We start from the raw sequence: 16,658 nt of genomic DNA on the forward strand, positions 1-16,658 counted from the left end.
TTGTCTCCCTCTTTACTGACTTGGATGCCCTTTATTTCTTTCTTTTGTCTGATTGCTCTGGCTAGGACTTCCAGTACTACGTTGAATAGAAGTGGCATCTTTGTCTTGTTCCAGTTCTCCCAGTGAATGTTTTCAACTTTTTCCTGTTAAGTGTAATGCTGGCTGTGGGTTTGTTGTAGATGGCTTTTTTTACTTTAAGATATGTCCCTTCTATGCTGATTTTGCTGAGGGTTTTAATCATAAAGGGATGCTGGATTTTGTCAAATGCTTTTTCTGTGTCTATTGAGATTATGTGATTTTTGTTTTTAATTGTGTTTATGTAGTGTATCACATTTATTGACTTATGCATATTAAACCATCCCTGCATCCCTGGTATGAAACCCACTTGATCATGGTGGATTATCTTTTTGATATGCTGCTAGATTCGGTTTGCTAGTATTTCGTTGAGGATTTTTGCACCTATGTTCATCAGGGATATTTGTCTGTAGTTTTCTTTTTTTGTTATGTCCTTTCCTGGTTCTGGAATTAGGGTGATACTGGCTTCATAGAATGATTTAGGGAGGAGTCCCTGTTTCTCTATCTTTCAGAATAGTGTCAATAGAATTGGTACCAATTCTTTGAATGTCTGATAGAAAGCTATGACCTATCTGTCTGATCCTGGATATTTTTTGTTGTCAATTTTTTAAAATTACCATTTCAAACTTGTTGCTGGTTATTTATCTGCTCAGAGATTCTATATCTTCCTGGTTTAATCTAGGAGAATTGTATATTTCCAGGAATTTATCCATCTCCTCTAGGTTTTCTAGTTTATGCGTGTAAAGGTGTTCATAGTAGCCTTGAATAATCTTTTGTATTTCTGTGGTATCAGTTGTAATATCTCCCATTTCATTTCTAATTGAGCTTATTTGGATTTTCTCTCTTATTTTCTTGGTTAATCTCACTAATGGTCTATCAATTTTATTTATCTTCTCAAAGAACCAGCTTTTTGTTTCATTTAAATCTTTTGTACTTTTTTTGTTTCAATTTCATTTAGTTCTGCTCTGATCTTCATTACTTCTTTTTTTCTGCTGGGTTTGGGTTTGGTTTGTTCTTGTTTCTCCAGTTCTGAGAAGTGTGACCTTAGATCGTCTATTTGTGCTCTTTCAGACTGTTTGATGCAGGCATTTAATGCTATGAACTTTCCTCTTAGCACCACTTTTGCGTATCCCAGAGGTTTTGATAGGTTGCGTCACTATTATTGTCAGTTCAAAGATTTTTTTAATTTCCATTTTGATTTCACTGTTGACCCAATGATTCAGGAAGAGGTTATTTAATTTCCATGTATTTGCATGGTTTTGAGGGTTCCTTTTGTAGTTGATTTCCAGTCTTATTCCACTGTTTTCTGAAAGAGTACTTGATATAGTTTCAATTTTCTTAAATTTACTGAGTCTTGTTTTGTGGCCTATCATATGGTCTGTCTTGGAGAATGTTCCATGTGCTGATGGATAGAATGTATATTCTGCAGTTGTTGGGTAGAATGTTCTGTAAATATCTGTAAGTCTATTTGTTGTAGAATATAGTTTAAGTCCATTGTTTCTTCACTGACTTTCTGTCTTGATGACTTGTCTAGTGCTGTCAGTGGAGTATTGAAACCCACCACTATTATTGTGGTGGTGTCTGTCTTCTTTCTTAGGTCTATATAATTGTTTTATAAATTTGAGAGCTCCAGTGTTAGGTGCATATACATGTAGAATTGTGATGCTTTCCTGTTGGACTAGTCCTTTTATCATTATATAATGTCCCTCTTTGTCTTTTTTATGTGCTGTTGTTTAAAGTTTGTTTTGTCTGATATAAGAATAGTTACTCCTGCTCATTTTTGGTGTTCATTTGCATGGGATATCTTTTTCCATCCCTTTACCTTAAGTTGATGTGAGTCCTTCTGTGTTAGGTGAGTCTCCTAAAGACAGCAGAAACTTGGTTGGTGAATTCTTATGCATTCTGCCATTCTGTATCTTTTAAGTGGAGCATTTAGCCCATTATGTTAGTATTGAGATGTGAGGTACAATTCTATTCATCGTGCTATTTGTTGCCTGAATACCTTGGGTTTTTTTTCATTGTGTTATTGTTATATAGGCCTGTGAGGTTTATGCTTTAAGAAAGCTCTATTTTGGTATATTTTGAGGATTTGTTTCAAGATTTAGAGATCCTTTTAGCAGTTCTTGTAGTTCTGGCTTGGTAGTGGCGAATTCTCTCAGCATTTGTTTGTCTGGAAAGATTGTATCTTTCCTTCATTTATTAAGCTTAGTTGCACTGAATACAAAATTCTTGGCTGATAATTGTTTTGTTTAAGGAGGCTAAAAATAGGACCCCCAATCCCTTCTAGCTTGTGGAGTTTCTGCTGAGAAATCTTCTATAAATCTGATAGGCTTTCCTTTATAGGTAACCTGATGCTTTTGCCTCACAGCTCTTAAGATTCTTTCCTTCGTCTTTACTTTAGGTAACCTGATGACTATGTGCCTACGTGATGATCTTTTTGCAATGAATTTCCCAGCTGTTCTTTGAACTTCTTGTATTTGAATGTGTAGATCTCTAGCAAGGCCAGGGAAGGTTTCCTCAATTATTCTCTCAACTATGTTTCCAAACTTTTGGATTTCTCTTCTTCTTTGGGAACACTAATTATTCTTAGGTTTGGACATTTAACGTAGTCCCTAACTTCTTGCAGGCTTTGTTCATTTTTTAAAATTCTTCTTTCTTTGTCTTTGATGGATTGGGTTAATTCGAAAGCCTTGTATTCTGTGTCTGAAGTTCTTTCTTCTGCTTGTTCGATTCTATTGCTGAGACTTTTCACTGTATTTTGTATTTCCCTAAGTGTGTCCTTGATTTCCAGAAGTTGTGATTGTTTTTTATTTATGCTATTTATTTCACTGAAGAATTTTTCTTTCATATTCTGTATCATGTTTTTGATTTCTTTAAGTTGGACTTCACCTTTCTCTGGTGCCTCCTTGATTAGCTTAATAATTGATCTTCTGAATTATTTTTGTGGCAATTCAGAGATTTTGTCTTGGTTTGGATCCATTGCTGGTGAGCTGGTATGATCTTTTGCAGGTGTTGAAGAACCTTGTTTTCTCATATTAACAGAATTGTTTTTCTGGCTCCTTGTCATTTGGGTCGCCTATGTCAGAGGGAAGATCTGGGATACAAGGGCTGCTGTTCAGATTCTTGTGTCTCATGGCTGCTCCCTTGATGTGGTGTTCTCCCCCTTCCACTAGGAATGGAGCTTCCTGAGAGCTGAACTGTAGTGATTGTTTTTGTTCTTTTGGGTCTAGCCACCCAGCGGAACTATGGGGCTCCAGGCTAGTACTGAGAAGTGTCTGCAAAGAGTCCTGTTATGTGATCCATCTTCAGGTCTTGCAGCCGTGGATACCAGGACCTGCTCTGGTGGAGGTAGTGGGGGAGGGAAGTGGACTCTGTGAGAGTCCTTGGTTGTGTTTTTGTTTAGTACACTGGTTTTGTGTTTGTTGGCCTCCAGCCAGGAGGTGGCACTTTCAAGAGCACATCAGCTGCGGTGCTATAGGGAGGATGCGAACTTGCCCTGGGGATACCTGATCAAGGGTTCAGGTTTCTCAGGCAGTGGGCAGGGCCATAGAGCTCTCAAGAGATTACGACCTTTGTCTTCGGCTACCAGGGCAGGTAGAGAAAGACCTCCAGGTAGGGGCAGGAATAGGTGTGTCTGAGCTCAGCTTCTCCTTGGGTGGGTCTTGCTGCAGCTGCTGTGGGCAATGGGGCTGTGGTTCCCAGTCCAGTGGAGTTATATTCCCAGGGGGATTATGGCTGCCTCTGCTGAGTCATACAGGTTGCCAGGGAAGTAGGGGAAAGCCAGCAGTCACAGGCCTCACCCTGCTCCCACACAGCCTACAGTCCTAAAGTTTGGTCTTACTCTCACCGAGCCCCCACAACAGCACCAAGTCTATTTGCAGGCAGCCAGTGACCAGGGCTGAGAACTTGCCCCAGACCATGAGCCTCCCCATTGAGAAAGCAAGCCGACTAAGAGGTTTTCGGCATCTCAGGGAACCCATAGAAGTGATCCAGTTCTTCAAAGGGTCTGTGGATTCTCTCGGCTTTCCTGGTATGTTCCTGTGGTAGTTTTTGGGACAAAAGTTCACAATGTGAGTCTCCACATGCTGCTCTGTCCAAGTGGGGAGGTGCAAGCTAGTCTTGCCTCTTATCTGCCACTTTAATCCTCTGTCTACCACAGAGTTTTGCCATTGGAGGCACTCAATAGCTGTTTGAAATGGATTACTGTTAGCTTAGCAGTGGTAATTAGTAGATATTCTTAAGTAATATCTTAAAATATTTCTTAATTAATTTGATGCATTTGTGCATTTCATCGATTTCAAGGCCTAGACATTGGGAATTAGATGTCTCAGCTGAGGATGAAATTGATTCTTATTCCAGAAATAAAAGTGAGGCCCTGGTGCCCATGAGCAGAATCCGTGTGCTACCATAGCAACACACAGCACTGCTTTGTCTTAGTCAATATAAATTAACCTTTTAAAAAATATGACTGTAAAGGGTTATATTATATATGTTAAGTATATAATTAAATTTTTGCTCTGTAATGTCCCTCATTTCCACCATTATGACTTTCTAGAATACATCCCCATTCCTTCTCTGTTACTTACTCGTCCCTTTGTGCCTTGTTGGACCACATCTGACATGTTAATAGATGTATCTTTGCACAGTTAAATGCTAAATAATGTGCTATGGATGTGTGCATGTTGTCAGGGTCTGCAGGAGGAGAGAATTTGAGAACTTGCTCAGAAACCTTTGTGGCAGAAAGTTGGATTCAGCTAGACTGAGAGTGAGATAAGAGGCCCACCAGGAGGCACAAGGGGGATGGACCAGGGCAGTTGGCAGGATGAGCATTGAGTAAGGTGAACCAAAATGCTGGCATCAGGTTTGTTCATAATCTCTGAACCCTACTGGGTTTTACTTCAGTATATGAAGACCCAATCCACAAATCATTAAGAACTGGACAGAAAAAAAAATTATACTGATTTTTTTTAAGTTAACAAGTTTCAAAATGTTGGTAGCTTTCCAAGTTCCGTCCCACAAAACCCAATTCTCGGGGCTGGCAGGCTAGTGGTGAGACTGTGGCTGTGCCAGGGGAGTCAGTTGAATGATGGAGATCCTGAGTCTGATCCACTCCAAGAGAGATCTCAGCTGGGTCTCATCTGTTGCCATTTGGAATATTAAATAGTTCGCCAAGGATAGAAACTAAATCTGTGCCAGAATGTATAGAGAGTCAGAATGGCCCATGCTTCTACACCTCCGTCCTCCCCACTCAGTTCTTCTCCAAGTCATTCTTTAATTCCAAGGCCAAGGATGGGAACCACAGGAGAGAGGACATGAAAATAAATACAATGGGGGAAAAAGAAAACAAACAGCAGCAGCAGAGAATGACGACGAGGAGGAGAGAAAAAATGAGAAGTAGGAAGAGGATGAGTTTGTCGTGCTCATCTGGCAAATATGTAATCTGATTTTAACTTCTAGCCATGGTGAGCGATCCCAGGGGAGCACAGAGTGGACCCAGCTGGGATCTCTCTTGGAGTGGATCAGACTGATAATCTCCAACAACCAACTCATTCCTGGATAAGGAAGAAGAGAGTGTCACCTACTTCAGTGTGATTTCAACCCCACCTCTACATCTTAAAGACATTGTATTATTTCAGCAGTAATGCCACTGTTCATTAGTCCCACTGATGTTTTCATTCCTCATTTCATCTTTTTCTTAGCAGCATTCCATTAATCCTTCATTTTAGAGACACTCTCTTCCTTTGGCTGGACAGAAAAAAACATTTCTACTGATTTTTTAAAACATAACAAGTTTCAAAATGTTGGTAGCTTTCCAAGTTCCACCCCACAAAACCCAATTCTTTGGCGGGCTGGTGGTGAGACTGTGACTGTGCCAGGGGAGTCAGTTGAATGATGGAGATCCTTAGTCTTATCCACTCCTAGAGAGATCTCAGCTGGGTCTCTGCCCATGAGCAGAATCTGTGTTCTTGGGACACAGATTTCCCAAGAGACCATTATTTCATGAGACTTTCATGAGACCATTCTCAGATTAGCATCCAAGATGAAGTGGCATTATCCTGCATAGTGTCCAGCATTGTACATTTGATTAGGAGGGAGTAAATGAGATTGAGCACTGGGAGCAATAGTAGAAGGACACCCAATAGCCCAAAGTTGGAAGGAGCACAAGTGTTCATTGATGGAAGAATGGATAAACAGAATGTGGTCTAAACATACCATGAAGTATTATCCAGCCTTAAAAGGGGAGGAAGTTCTGACAGATGCTGCAACATGGATGAACCTTGAGGATATTATGCAAGTGAAGTAAACCAGGCAGAGAAGGATAAATGCTGTATGATTCTACTCATATGAGGTACCTAGAGTAGTCAAACTGATAGAGAAAGTAGAATGGTGGCTGCCAGGAGCTGTGGGGATGGGAAGATGGGAAGTTCATGAGACCATTCTCACCTTGTTTTGTCCTACTACTCTTTTGAAAAAAAACCTTTTTTTCTTGTTAAATTCTAGTAAAATACACAAAATAAAAATTTGCTATCTTAACCATGTTTAAATATGCAGTTAGTAGTGTAAAATACATTCACATTGTTGTGCAAACCATCACCACCATCCATCACTAGAACTCTTTTCATCTTGCAGATCTGAAACTCTGTACGCATTAAACAACTTCCCATCTTCCCATCCCCACAGTTCCTAACAGCCACCATTCTACTTTCTCTCTCTATCAGTTTGACTACTCTAGGTACCTCATATGAGTAGAATCATACAGCATTTATCCTTCTCTGCCTGGCTTACTTCACTTGCATAATGTCCTCAAGGTTCATCCATGTTGTAGCATGTGTCAGAACTTCCTCCCCTTTTAAGTTTGGAGAATATTTCATGGTATGTTTAGACCACATTCTGTTTATCCATTCTTCCATCAATGAACACTTGTGCTCCTTCCAACTTTGGGCTATTGGGTGTCCTTCTACTATTGCTCCCAGTGCTCAATCTCATTTACTCCCTTCTAAACAAATGTACAACACTGGACACTACACAGGATAATGCCACTTCATGTTGGATGCTAATCTGCCATGTTGACTTCTGACTAACCCCAGGCCCAGGAATGTCTCTAAGATTTTGACTTTATTTACTGTTGCTTGTGTAAGCCAAGACAACCTTGATGTTATCATAAATATGTACTTACCTAAGTCCTGTCTTTTGGCAAATTATGGGCTATGAGGCACATAGCGTTCTTGCCTTTCCCTGAGGGGTTAATTTCAGTGATCCTACACATTACTTCTGAAGCACATATGCTCTTCTTATATGGCATGTAAGCCCTGGGTCTAGGGGGTAACAGTGCAAAGATCTACCTGTCGTGCTGCTACATGCTTCTAAATTTGCTAATAAATCACCTTCCACTGACCAAAAAAACACATTTTTCTCTCTAATCAGTATGACAATGATGGTGAGTAAAGATATAGGGCAAAAAAACGATAACATCTTATGAGTACAAAACAACTGTCAAATGTCATCCAAGGAAATCTTTTAAAAAGTGTTCTTTTTCTAACTGTAAATTCATAAATTATTGTTGTACATGTTTATGGGGCACAAAGTGAAGTTATGACTTATGAATACAATATGGAATAATTACATCAAGCTAATTAACATACATCACTTCAAATACTGATTAGATAGGAGAAATAAGTTTGTTTTCTTTGAGATATATTGCACACTATGCAACATATAGTAAATAATAATGCAATATAGTAAATAATAATGTATTATACCTTCCAAGGAGGTCTTTATTTCATCTTACTATTTCAAAATAGGCGAAGATCAGATCTTAGAAATCCCAAATTCAACATCTTAGATGCCAGGTAGAGAAAAATAGATATTCTTCACCTTTTCCATGATTACTCATGTTTATAAAGGTCTATTGTTTGAAGGCCAATTTAACAGAGTCATCTACTCTCAGTAAGTGGGGAAAGACAGGATTACAGAGAGACCTTCAAATATATGTCTCATTATGCATGATCATTCTCACTGTGGAGCAAATAGGCAAAGTGTGTCAGACTTGAAATTTTCTGAAGTCATTTCTAATTCTATGCTAATATTAGACCTCAGTATGATTAATAATATAACTCATCAGTTGTAGCCACTTGATAATTATTCTCATTAGGCTTATGTATAACACCATTTTTTTTCTCCATGAGAAACCCAAGTCCTTTTACAAATTTTCATTTGCCAAGTAGACAACATTCCTCACACTCTGTGAGCAAGACAAGTGCAAATTGCATTGAGTCTAGAAAGAAAGATGCTCATTTTTATTTAATATTTTTAGTTCCCACCTGTTCTCAGATGTATTTTTACTTCACTCTTTGGTAGTCTCCCTTGTTGGATGCTGTTTCCCACTCAATTCTTTTGGATTTCTGGTTGGAGTAGCTTTCTGTAGCTCTCAAAGTTTAAACTGAAAACTCATCTATTTTAACATCTAAAGTGATAGACTCTACCACCCCCTGCCTCCACCACCAATCTCATGTCTTGCGACACTCAACAATTAGACTGTGAACACTTCAAGGACTGGGATGAAGGCTGATCTGCATTTGTATTTCCGGGGTTGAGCTCAAATCCTAGCAATTGGACATACTTGGTAAGTGATGTTTGAACAAAAGAATAAATGTATGGATGACCATTCCATTATAGTCTACCTCACTAGCCATTTATGAGGTCCATGGAGGAAGTATAGGGATAAGATGCTGGGGATATGATTAGAGGAAGGCAAGGAAGATATCTGTAAAGATGTTGATGATGAAAATGCTTGATTGCATTTATGTTGGAAAATAGGAATAAAATATATATCATAGATAGACCTTACATAATGTTTTTGTTGGGAACTATCACATCTCAGGAGAGTCTTTAGTAGCTTGTGTGATCCTACCTATCTCTCCTTAAAAGATTTGTCTCTCCACTCATAGGATTAGGTTATTCCAGTCCCTGAAGTTCTGTCTGTGAGAAAAAGAAGACAGGAGAGTCCAGACACACCAACAGGTTGGTAAAAACAAAATTAACACAATTGAGCATCCTTTTATGTGTCAGAATGTTTACATACACATTGTCATCTAATCTTAATAACCCAATAAGGTTAATATAATCCTTATTTTAAGGTGAGAAAATGTAGGCTCAGATAGATTGTTACAGGGAAGCTTTGATGGGAACTAGGAAAGCTTTTTTCAATTCGCTATCAAAGTGCTGGAGTCTGGTGCTAGAGTCTGGTGTAACCTCTTTGGTCAGTTTTCCTGTTCCTTAATACTGTTAAGCACCATAGTGAGCCTGTGTGTGTGTGTGTGTGTTGTGTGTGCATATGTGTATGTGTGTGTGTATGTTGAGTGTACAGTTGTATGACTTGGAAATTTTAATTTTAAAATTATCATTGATAAAATTGACTTTCTTCTCACATGGGGTTACAAGTCTATGAATTTTAACAAATGTGTACTTTCATGTTACCCCCCACCATAATCAAGATGCAGAACAGTTCCATCACCCTAAAGAATTCCTTGTGCTATCACCTTGTAATTACACCCTCCCCCATCTCTATTCCATCATCTGTTTTCCATCACTATAATTTTATGTTTTTGATAATGTCCTATAAATAGGCTCCTATGGTATATATCATCTTTTGAGATTGGCTTCATTTACTTGACATAATGCCTTTGAGATCCATCCAAGTTGTGTATCAAAAGTTTATTCCTTTTCATTGCTGATTTTATTGTATAGGTGTATAGAATTGTATAGGATTTGTATAGGATTTCATTGTATGGAGGTACAGCAGTTTGTTTATTCATTTGCCTATTTGTGGTAGACAGATTAATAGCCCCCTAAAGATGTGTACATCCTTTTCCCCAGAACCTGTGAATATATTATGTTATATGGCAAGAGGGAATTAAGGTTATAGATGAAAATAAGATTGCTAATCATCTGACCTTAACATGCAGAATTATTATGTATTAGCCAGGTGGGCCAATGTAATCATAAGAGTTCTTAAATGGAGAAGAGTAAGGCAGAAGGGTCATAACCAAAGAAACGGCATTGTCAGAAACACTTAACTGGCCACTGCTGACTTTGAAAGTGGAAGGGGGCCATGAGCCAAAGAATGAAGGCAGCCTCTACATACTAGAAAAAGCAAGAAAATTGGTTCCTCCTTAGAGTCTCCAGAGAGAAATGCAATCCTGACAAAACCTTGATTTTAGTCCAGTGAGACCCATTTCTGCCTTCTGACCCGCTACACTATAAGATAATAAGTGTATGTTATTTCAAGCTACTAAATTTGTGGTAATTTGTTACAGCAGAAATAGGAACTAGTATACTATTGAAGGTCATTAGGTTATTTTCAGTTTGGGGCAATTATAAATAGAGCTTCTAAAAACAATTATGTATAGGTTTTTGTGTGAACATAAAATTTCATTTCTTTTTTTTTTTGAGATGGAGTCTTACTCTGTCGCCTAGGCTGGAGTGCAGTGGCATGATCTTGGCTCACTGCAAGCTCCACCTCCCGGGTTCACGCCATTCTCCTGCCTCAGCCTCCCGAGTAGCTGGGACTACAGGTGCCCACCACCATGCCTGGCTGATTTTTTTTGTATTTTTAATAGAGACGGGGTTTCACCGTGTTAGCTAGGATGGTCTCGATCTCCTGACCCCGTGATCTGCCCACCTCGGCCTCCCAAAGTGCTAGGATTACAGGTGTGAGCCACTGCACCCGGCCAAAATTTCATTTCTTTAGGGAAAACATGGAGGAGTGGGATTGCTAGCTCATATGGTAAACGTATGTTTAATTTTGTAAGAAATTGCTAAGAGTGTTTCCAGGGTGCTGCTATTATTTTACATTCCAGTAAGATATGAGAGTTCTGGTTGCTTTCCAATCCTCATCAAGTAGTATCAGGATTATTTATTTTAGTCAATTAAGTAGTTGTGTAGTAGTTTTAATTTGCATTTCCCTCATGGCTAATGATGTTGAACATCTTTTCATGTTCCTGTCTGCCAACTTTATATCCTCTTTAGAGAAGTATAAGTCCTTTGCCCATTTTAATAATTGGGTTGTTTGTTTTCCTATTGCTGAGTTTTTGAGTGTTCTTTACGTATTCTGAATACAAGTCTTTTGTCAGATATATGAATTTCTTTAGCACTTTTGTCAGTAATCAAATGGCAATTTTTATAAGGGTCTGGTTTCTGGACTTTCTCATAGATGTGTTCCATTGATCTATATTTCTGTCCCTTTGTCAATACCATACTGTGTTGATTACTATAGCTTTCTAGTAAGTTGAAATTGGGTAGTATGAGTCCTCCAACTTTATTCTTCTTTATCAATATATTTTTAGCTATTCTACTTCCTTTTCATTTTCTTTATCATATAAAATTTAAAATCTATTGGTACATATCTACAAAAACATCCTGCTTTTCATCAGTATTATTAAATCTAATGATAATTTTTAGGGAGAATTGACATCTTTACTATATTATCTCTCTCCATTTATTTAGATATTCTTTAAGTTCTTATATTAACATTTTTTAGTTTTCAGCATATAAATACTGTACATGTCTTGTTATAGTTCTATTTTTTTAAGTTATTATAAATGGTATTTTTTTACCTTTTAGTTTCTGGTTGTACATTACATTGTTAACATATAGAAATACACTTGTATTGTGTGTGTTGGCTTTATACACTGCAACCTTGCTAAACTCATTCATTAGTTCTAGGGGCTTTTTGTAGATTTTGTGAGATTTTCTTTTTTTTATTATTATACTTTAAGTTCTAGGGTATATGTGCACAACGTGCAGGTAGCATTAGGAGATTTTGTGAGGTTTTCTACATAGATAATGTTTTCTGTGAATAGAGTTTTACTTCTTTTTAAATAACCTGTGTACCTTTTATTTATTTTCCTTGCCTTATTGCACTGGCTAAGATTTTCAGTACAATGTTGAATAGAAGTGGTGAAAGTGAACATTCTTGCCTTGATCCCAATATTAGAAGAAAAGTATTACATCTTCCACCTTTAGGTGTAATGTTAGTTGTAGGATTTATAAGTGCCTTTTGTCAGGCCGAGGAAGCACCATTGTATTCTTAGTTTGCTGGCATTTTTGTCATGAATGGATGTTATATTTTTTCAAATGTTTTTCTGCATCTGTTGATATGATCAGGTAGCTTTTCTTATTTTATACATTTACTGTGGTAGATTACATTGATTGATTGATTGATTTTCAGATATTGAATCCACCCCTGGCTTCTTGAGATAAATCCCTTTTGGTCTTTGTGTAGTAATCTTATTATATGTTATTGGATCAATTTGCTAATATTTTGTTGAGGATTTTTGTGTCTATATTCACAGGGGATGTTGGTCTGCAGTTCACTCTCTCTTGGTGTCTTTGGTTTTGGTATCAAGGTAATTCTGGCCTTGTAAAGTGAATTGTAAAAGATTGCCTCCTTGTCTATTTTCTGAATGAGATTATGTTGAATTGCTGATATGTTTTTGTAAGATGTTTGCTAGAATTTACCAGTAAAACCATTTGGACACCGAGATTTATTTTTCCAAATGTTCAAAAATATCTTTAAATTATCATACAGTAAAACTGACTTATTTTCTTTTGGAGTACAGTTCTATGAACTTTAAAAATATGTATGAATTTGTTCTTTTTTAGGAATGTTTTAAAATATAAATTCAATTTCTTTAGTATTATAGTTATGGGGCTCTGCAGGTTATCTGTTGTGTTCTGGGTGAGTTTTGGTAGTTTGTGGGTTTTGAGGAATTAGTCCATTCTGCTATTGAGTCTATCCCATGGGGTTTTTATATTGGTTATTACTTATTTTAGTTATATGATTTCCATTTGGTTCTTCTTTGCCATGTACTTGTCACTAGGTTGCCTGGGGACTAGGGTGAGAGAGAATAGAAGGAAAGAAAATAACTGGGGGCTTTACCCTGTTCTCTCTGTGCTTTAGGATATCTCTTTTCTGCTCTTTGTCCCTAAATTAGAGAGATTCTCATGGATCTCTCTCTGTCTGCATCACAGGGCTCACTTTTGTGTTTCAGGCTTCAATGAGTTCAGGCCAGATGATACCAGAGGGGAAAAATGATAAACTCACCACCAGCCAATTTGGTATTATTTTGAATTCTGGTATTCTTTCTTAATATAGCTACAGATATTCACTTTTCAGAGACCTTGGATACCTGTGCCATGCAGTTTATCTAGGTTTTATTGTATCTAGTGGGAGAGAAGGGTTGGCATGTGTTTACACCATCTTACCTGGAACCAGAACTCTGGACATCTGTTTTTGTCACCCAGAATTTTCTTCCTCCTTGCAATGGCCCTTCAACTTTCCCTCGACAAAATCTCTTTTTACCTTTCATCCAGGGTACTTCCAGAAGAGTTGGTCCCACTTATGACTCAGAATGGAGGAAGTATTTCAGGCTGAAAACAATCCACTCAATGCATTTTCTTGAACAAATTGATTTAATAGTGAACATAAGACTCACTTAGAGCCAATGAGAGAGAACAAGATTCTGCTGAAAATTTAGAGCACTATCACTGGTTCTTCACATCTAGATTTAGACCTAGAAACCGTTAGTCCCAGAAGTTACTGGTAGCTATCTTGGGACTATGGAGAAGAGGATTCCCTGAAAGGCAACAACACAGGAAAGGAAGAGCAGAGAAGAGGAAGGAGAGAGAAACCAAATTCTGGTATCATTTAGGCTTTGGATCAAATGCAATCTGAAGCCAGTTAGGTCTCTCCCCAAACTATCCAGTGACTTGTGCCAATATATTCCATTTAACTTACTGCACTGTGAGTTGAGTTTTCTGACCCTTACAATGGAAACATTCCTCCTTTATCAGTTCTGTCATTCTGTATTTCCTCACATATTGAAAAATTATAATTAGTTATAATCTGTATCTTCTCTAAAATATTTTGCCTTTGCCTTTTCCTACGTATCTAGACAATTTTGTTTTTCATCTGTCCATTTAATGTGATGAGATATCGATAAAGCCAGACTTTTCTAGAAACCTCTCTATGATTGAAAATAGGTGTGAGGTATTACCAAATCCCAATAGCTAACAAAAAGACATTTTATCTGATGGCTTCTCCACTGTTCCTGATGAAATGTGAAGAGTTGTTATGAAATGGAAGGTGGGGAGATGTTGAAACAGAGATGAATATATAAAGTTGCAATAAAACCCTGTAAATTTTGATTAAACTATATCCATTTGAGGTAGCCCAGAGACATTTATAACTTTTCTCTCATGAAGAGGTAGGCCTCATGGCATCATAAAGTCTAAGATTCTGCAAAATCTGACTGATATCTCTTATCTATATGTTAGCCTGGAGCCCAAAGGACATTGAACCCTCTTGGGAAGAATGTGGTAACAAAGTGCTCAATATCATGTGATATAATAAAATGGCTCTTGTTTGAAGCCACAAGTTTTGGGGGTAGTTTATTACACAGCAGTAAGTAACTGAAACACAAACTCTATTATGTCTCCAAGAGTTGCTATGCTATGTCATTGCCAGAATCTCTTTACTTTGTGGATCTTTCCAGATTCTAGACTTCTAACTTCTTCCTTCAGCCTATTTTCCACAGTTAATTGACATATTTTATTTTTTAAAAAGTACAATTCACATATATCTTGAAAAAAATGATAGTTACTATAATCTACTTAAAATAGACAATTCAGCTCTTGGGAAAGTGGCCACTGTAGGCTTAGCAGTGGTTGGGATAGGAAAGGCTGCTCTTGGGTTTGCTTATGCAAAGTTTGAAAAGGTGGCTTATTATTTTCTCAGTCAGTATTTGACTGGATCAGGAAATGTCTAATCTTAGAAAGAAATCCTGATGTACTATATTTTAAGGTTGCCTGGTTCTGGAGTCTATAATAACAGAGTCCTGACCTATGGGCCTGATGAACTGCCTCATGAATACCCCACCAGGGATAAATGGCACATACATATATACAAGAAGAATGGGAACTAATTCTCTCAGAAAGAACTTTTTTTTATAAGCCTAAACTAGAGAAAACTGCCCATATAACTCAAGTAATCTCTCTTGGAAACTAGTAAACTAACATAATATTTTGAGAACGCCTAAAATTGCAATAGTTGACCCATAAGTCTTTAGGGGTTTAGGGACCGCTTTGGTCCCCAGGAGTGTCCACAAAGATCTCCTCACAATATGCAGTCTACCTAGACAATGCTTCACCACTGAGGCCCTAGATCTCTACTCCATGTTTCTCCTATTAAAGTATATCTTCTTTGTGTTCCATTCGCTCTCAGCTGGTCTACTAGAACACTTTCCGATGTGTGAACCTCTTCTAAGAATGAACTGTTGACTTTTGAATGTATGAGATTAGACCATACCAGTAGACACAATGCAACTAGTTAGCTCAATTATTGCAGAGTCTCATGATCAGCCTTGATTGAGTGTTTGATAAATCTTAATGATAAGCAGTAGTGTCATGCAAAGACCAACTGAATTCTCAGACTTTTTTGACATCCAGCAAGAAACAAGATATTTGGTAAAATTGTGTAGTTGGAGGAATGTCATGACTCTGATCTTGGCAAGTGTCTGTGACTTATCATTTCTCTTAGGAACTAAGCAGGGATATTTAAAAATATATCACCTATTGTTAATTTCTGACTCTAACACATTTTCACTGTAGAAAATTGGGACATACAAGAAGGAATAAAGAAGAAAATAAAAACTAGCCATATTTCTACTACCCAGATATAATCACTGTTAACCTTTTGTTTCATTTCAGCTAAATAAAGTATAAAAATATTTTACAAAACATTTAGATAATTGTGTATACATATGTGTATATGTTTTTATATATGTATACATACACACATACATATTATTGGGTGTGTGTGTGCGTGCATGCGTGTGTGTGTGCACATATGTATAGTTTTGTTTCTAAGCAGGAAATTTTCAAAGGACTAGTTAAACTTTTGTCCTACTTCTTCTGTCTGAAAGTAGATTACGTCAACAAATGAGATTAAACTCTTCCTGATTTGTCTTGCCTTCCAGTGGGAGAATGTTATTTTTAAACCAGAAAGCAACTGGGATACTTAAATAATGATAACAACAACAAACAAGAAGGTCAATCTTCAGACCTTCATATAAGCTCCACCGTATCTCTGGATGCATACAAATTACTCAAGGGCTGTGGTCATGTTTAAAAAACGATTTAAGGTTTATGACCAGCCTGGGCAAAATAGTAAAACTCTGTCTCTACAGAAAATTTTTTAAAACATTAGCCAGGCATGGTGGTGCATGCCTGTAGTCCTAGCTACTAGGGAGGCTGAGGCAGGAGGATTGCTTGAGCCCATGAGTGCCTGGAGACAGAGCAAGACCCCATCTCTAAAAAAATAATAACAACAATTTAAGCAACAATTTCTTCTCTGGGAGCATTTAAAAATTGGTTGGGAAGAATGATTCACACATTTAAAAATTGGTTGAGAAGAATGATTCACACATATTGAGCAATTTGAGAGTAGTAGAAGATGGTTTATGTTTAGGTGGTGAAGAGATGTGAGGTTCAATGACCACAAGTATTTCAAGGGTTCCTGGAGA

The 16,658-nt window shown here is 37.6% G+C and overlaps 1 long non-coding RNA gene across 1 annotated transcript in view, besides 1 other annotated feature; it reads left to right on the forward strand.

The window, feature by feature from the left end:
- Nucleotides 1–16,658, forward strand: part of NPHP3-AS1 (NPHP3 antisense RNA 1) — a 152,462-nt gene that overhangs the window by 129,775 nt on the left and 6,029 nt on the right. Inside the window, exon 10 of the long non-coding RNA NR_002811.2 lies at nucleotides 9,024–9,096. This is a non-coding gene — a long non-coding RNA (NPHP3 antisense RNA 1). The remainder of the gene's footprint in view (nucleotides 1–9,023; nucleotides 9,097–16,658) is intronic.
- Nucleotides 14,001–14,170: an enhancer, noted in NCBI's record as "experimental_64751 CRE fragment used in MPRA reporter constructs". NCBI's record gives its function as "activates a minimal promoter by MPRAs in K562 erythroleukemia cells, with activity observed for both the introgressed and non-introgressed 3:132584454 variant alleles {active_cell/tissue: K562}" and the evidence as "EXISTENCE:reporter gene assay evidence [ECO:0000049][PMID:34662402]".

Source organism: Homo sapiens, chromosome 3, assembly GCF_000001405.40.
Source record: "Homo sapiens chromosome 3, GRCh38.p14 Primary Assembly".
NCBI classification, from domain to species: domain Eukaryota; kingdom Metazoa; phylum Chordata; class Mammalia; order Primates; family Hominidae; genus Homo; species Homo sapiens.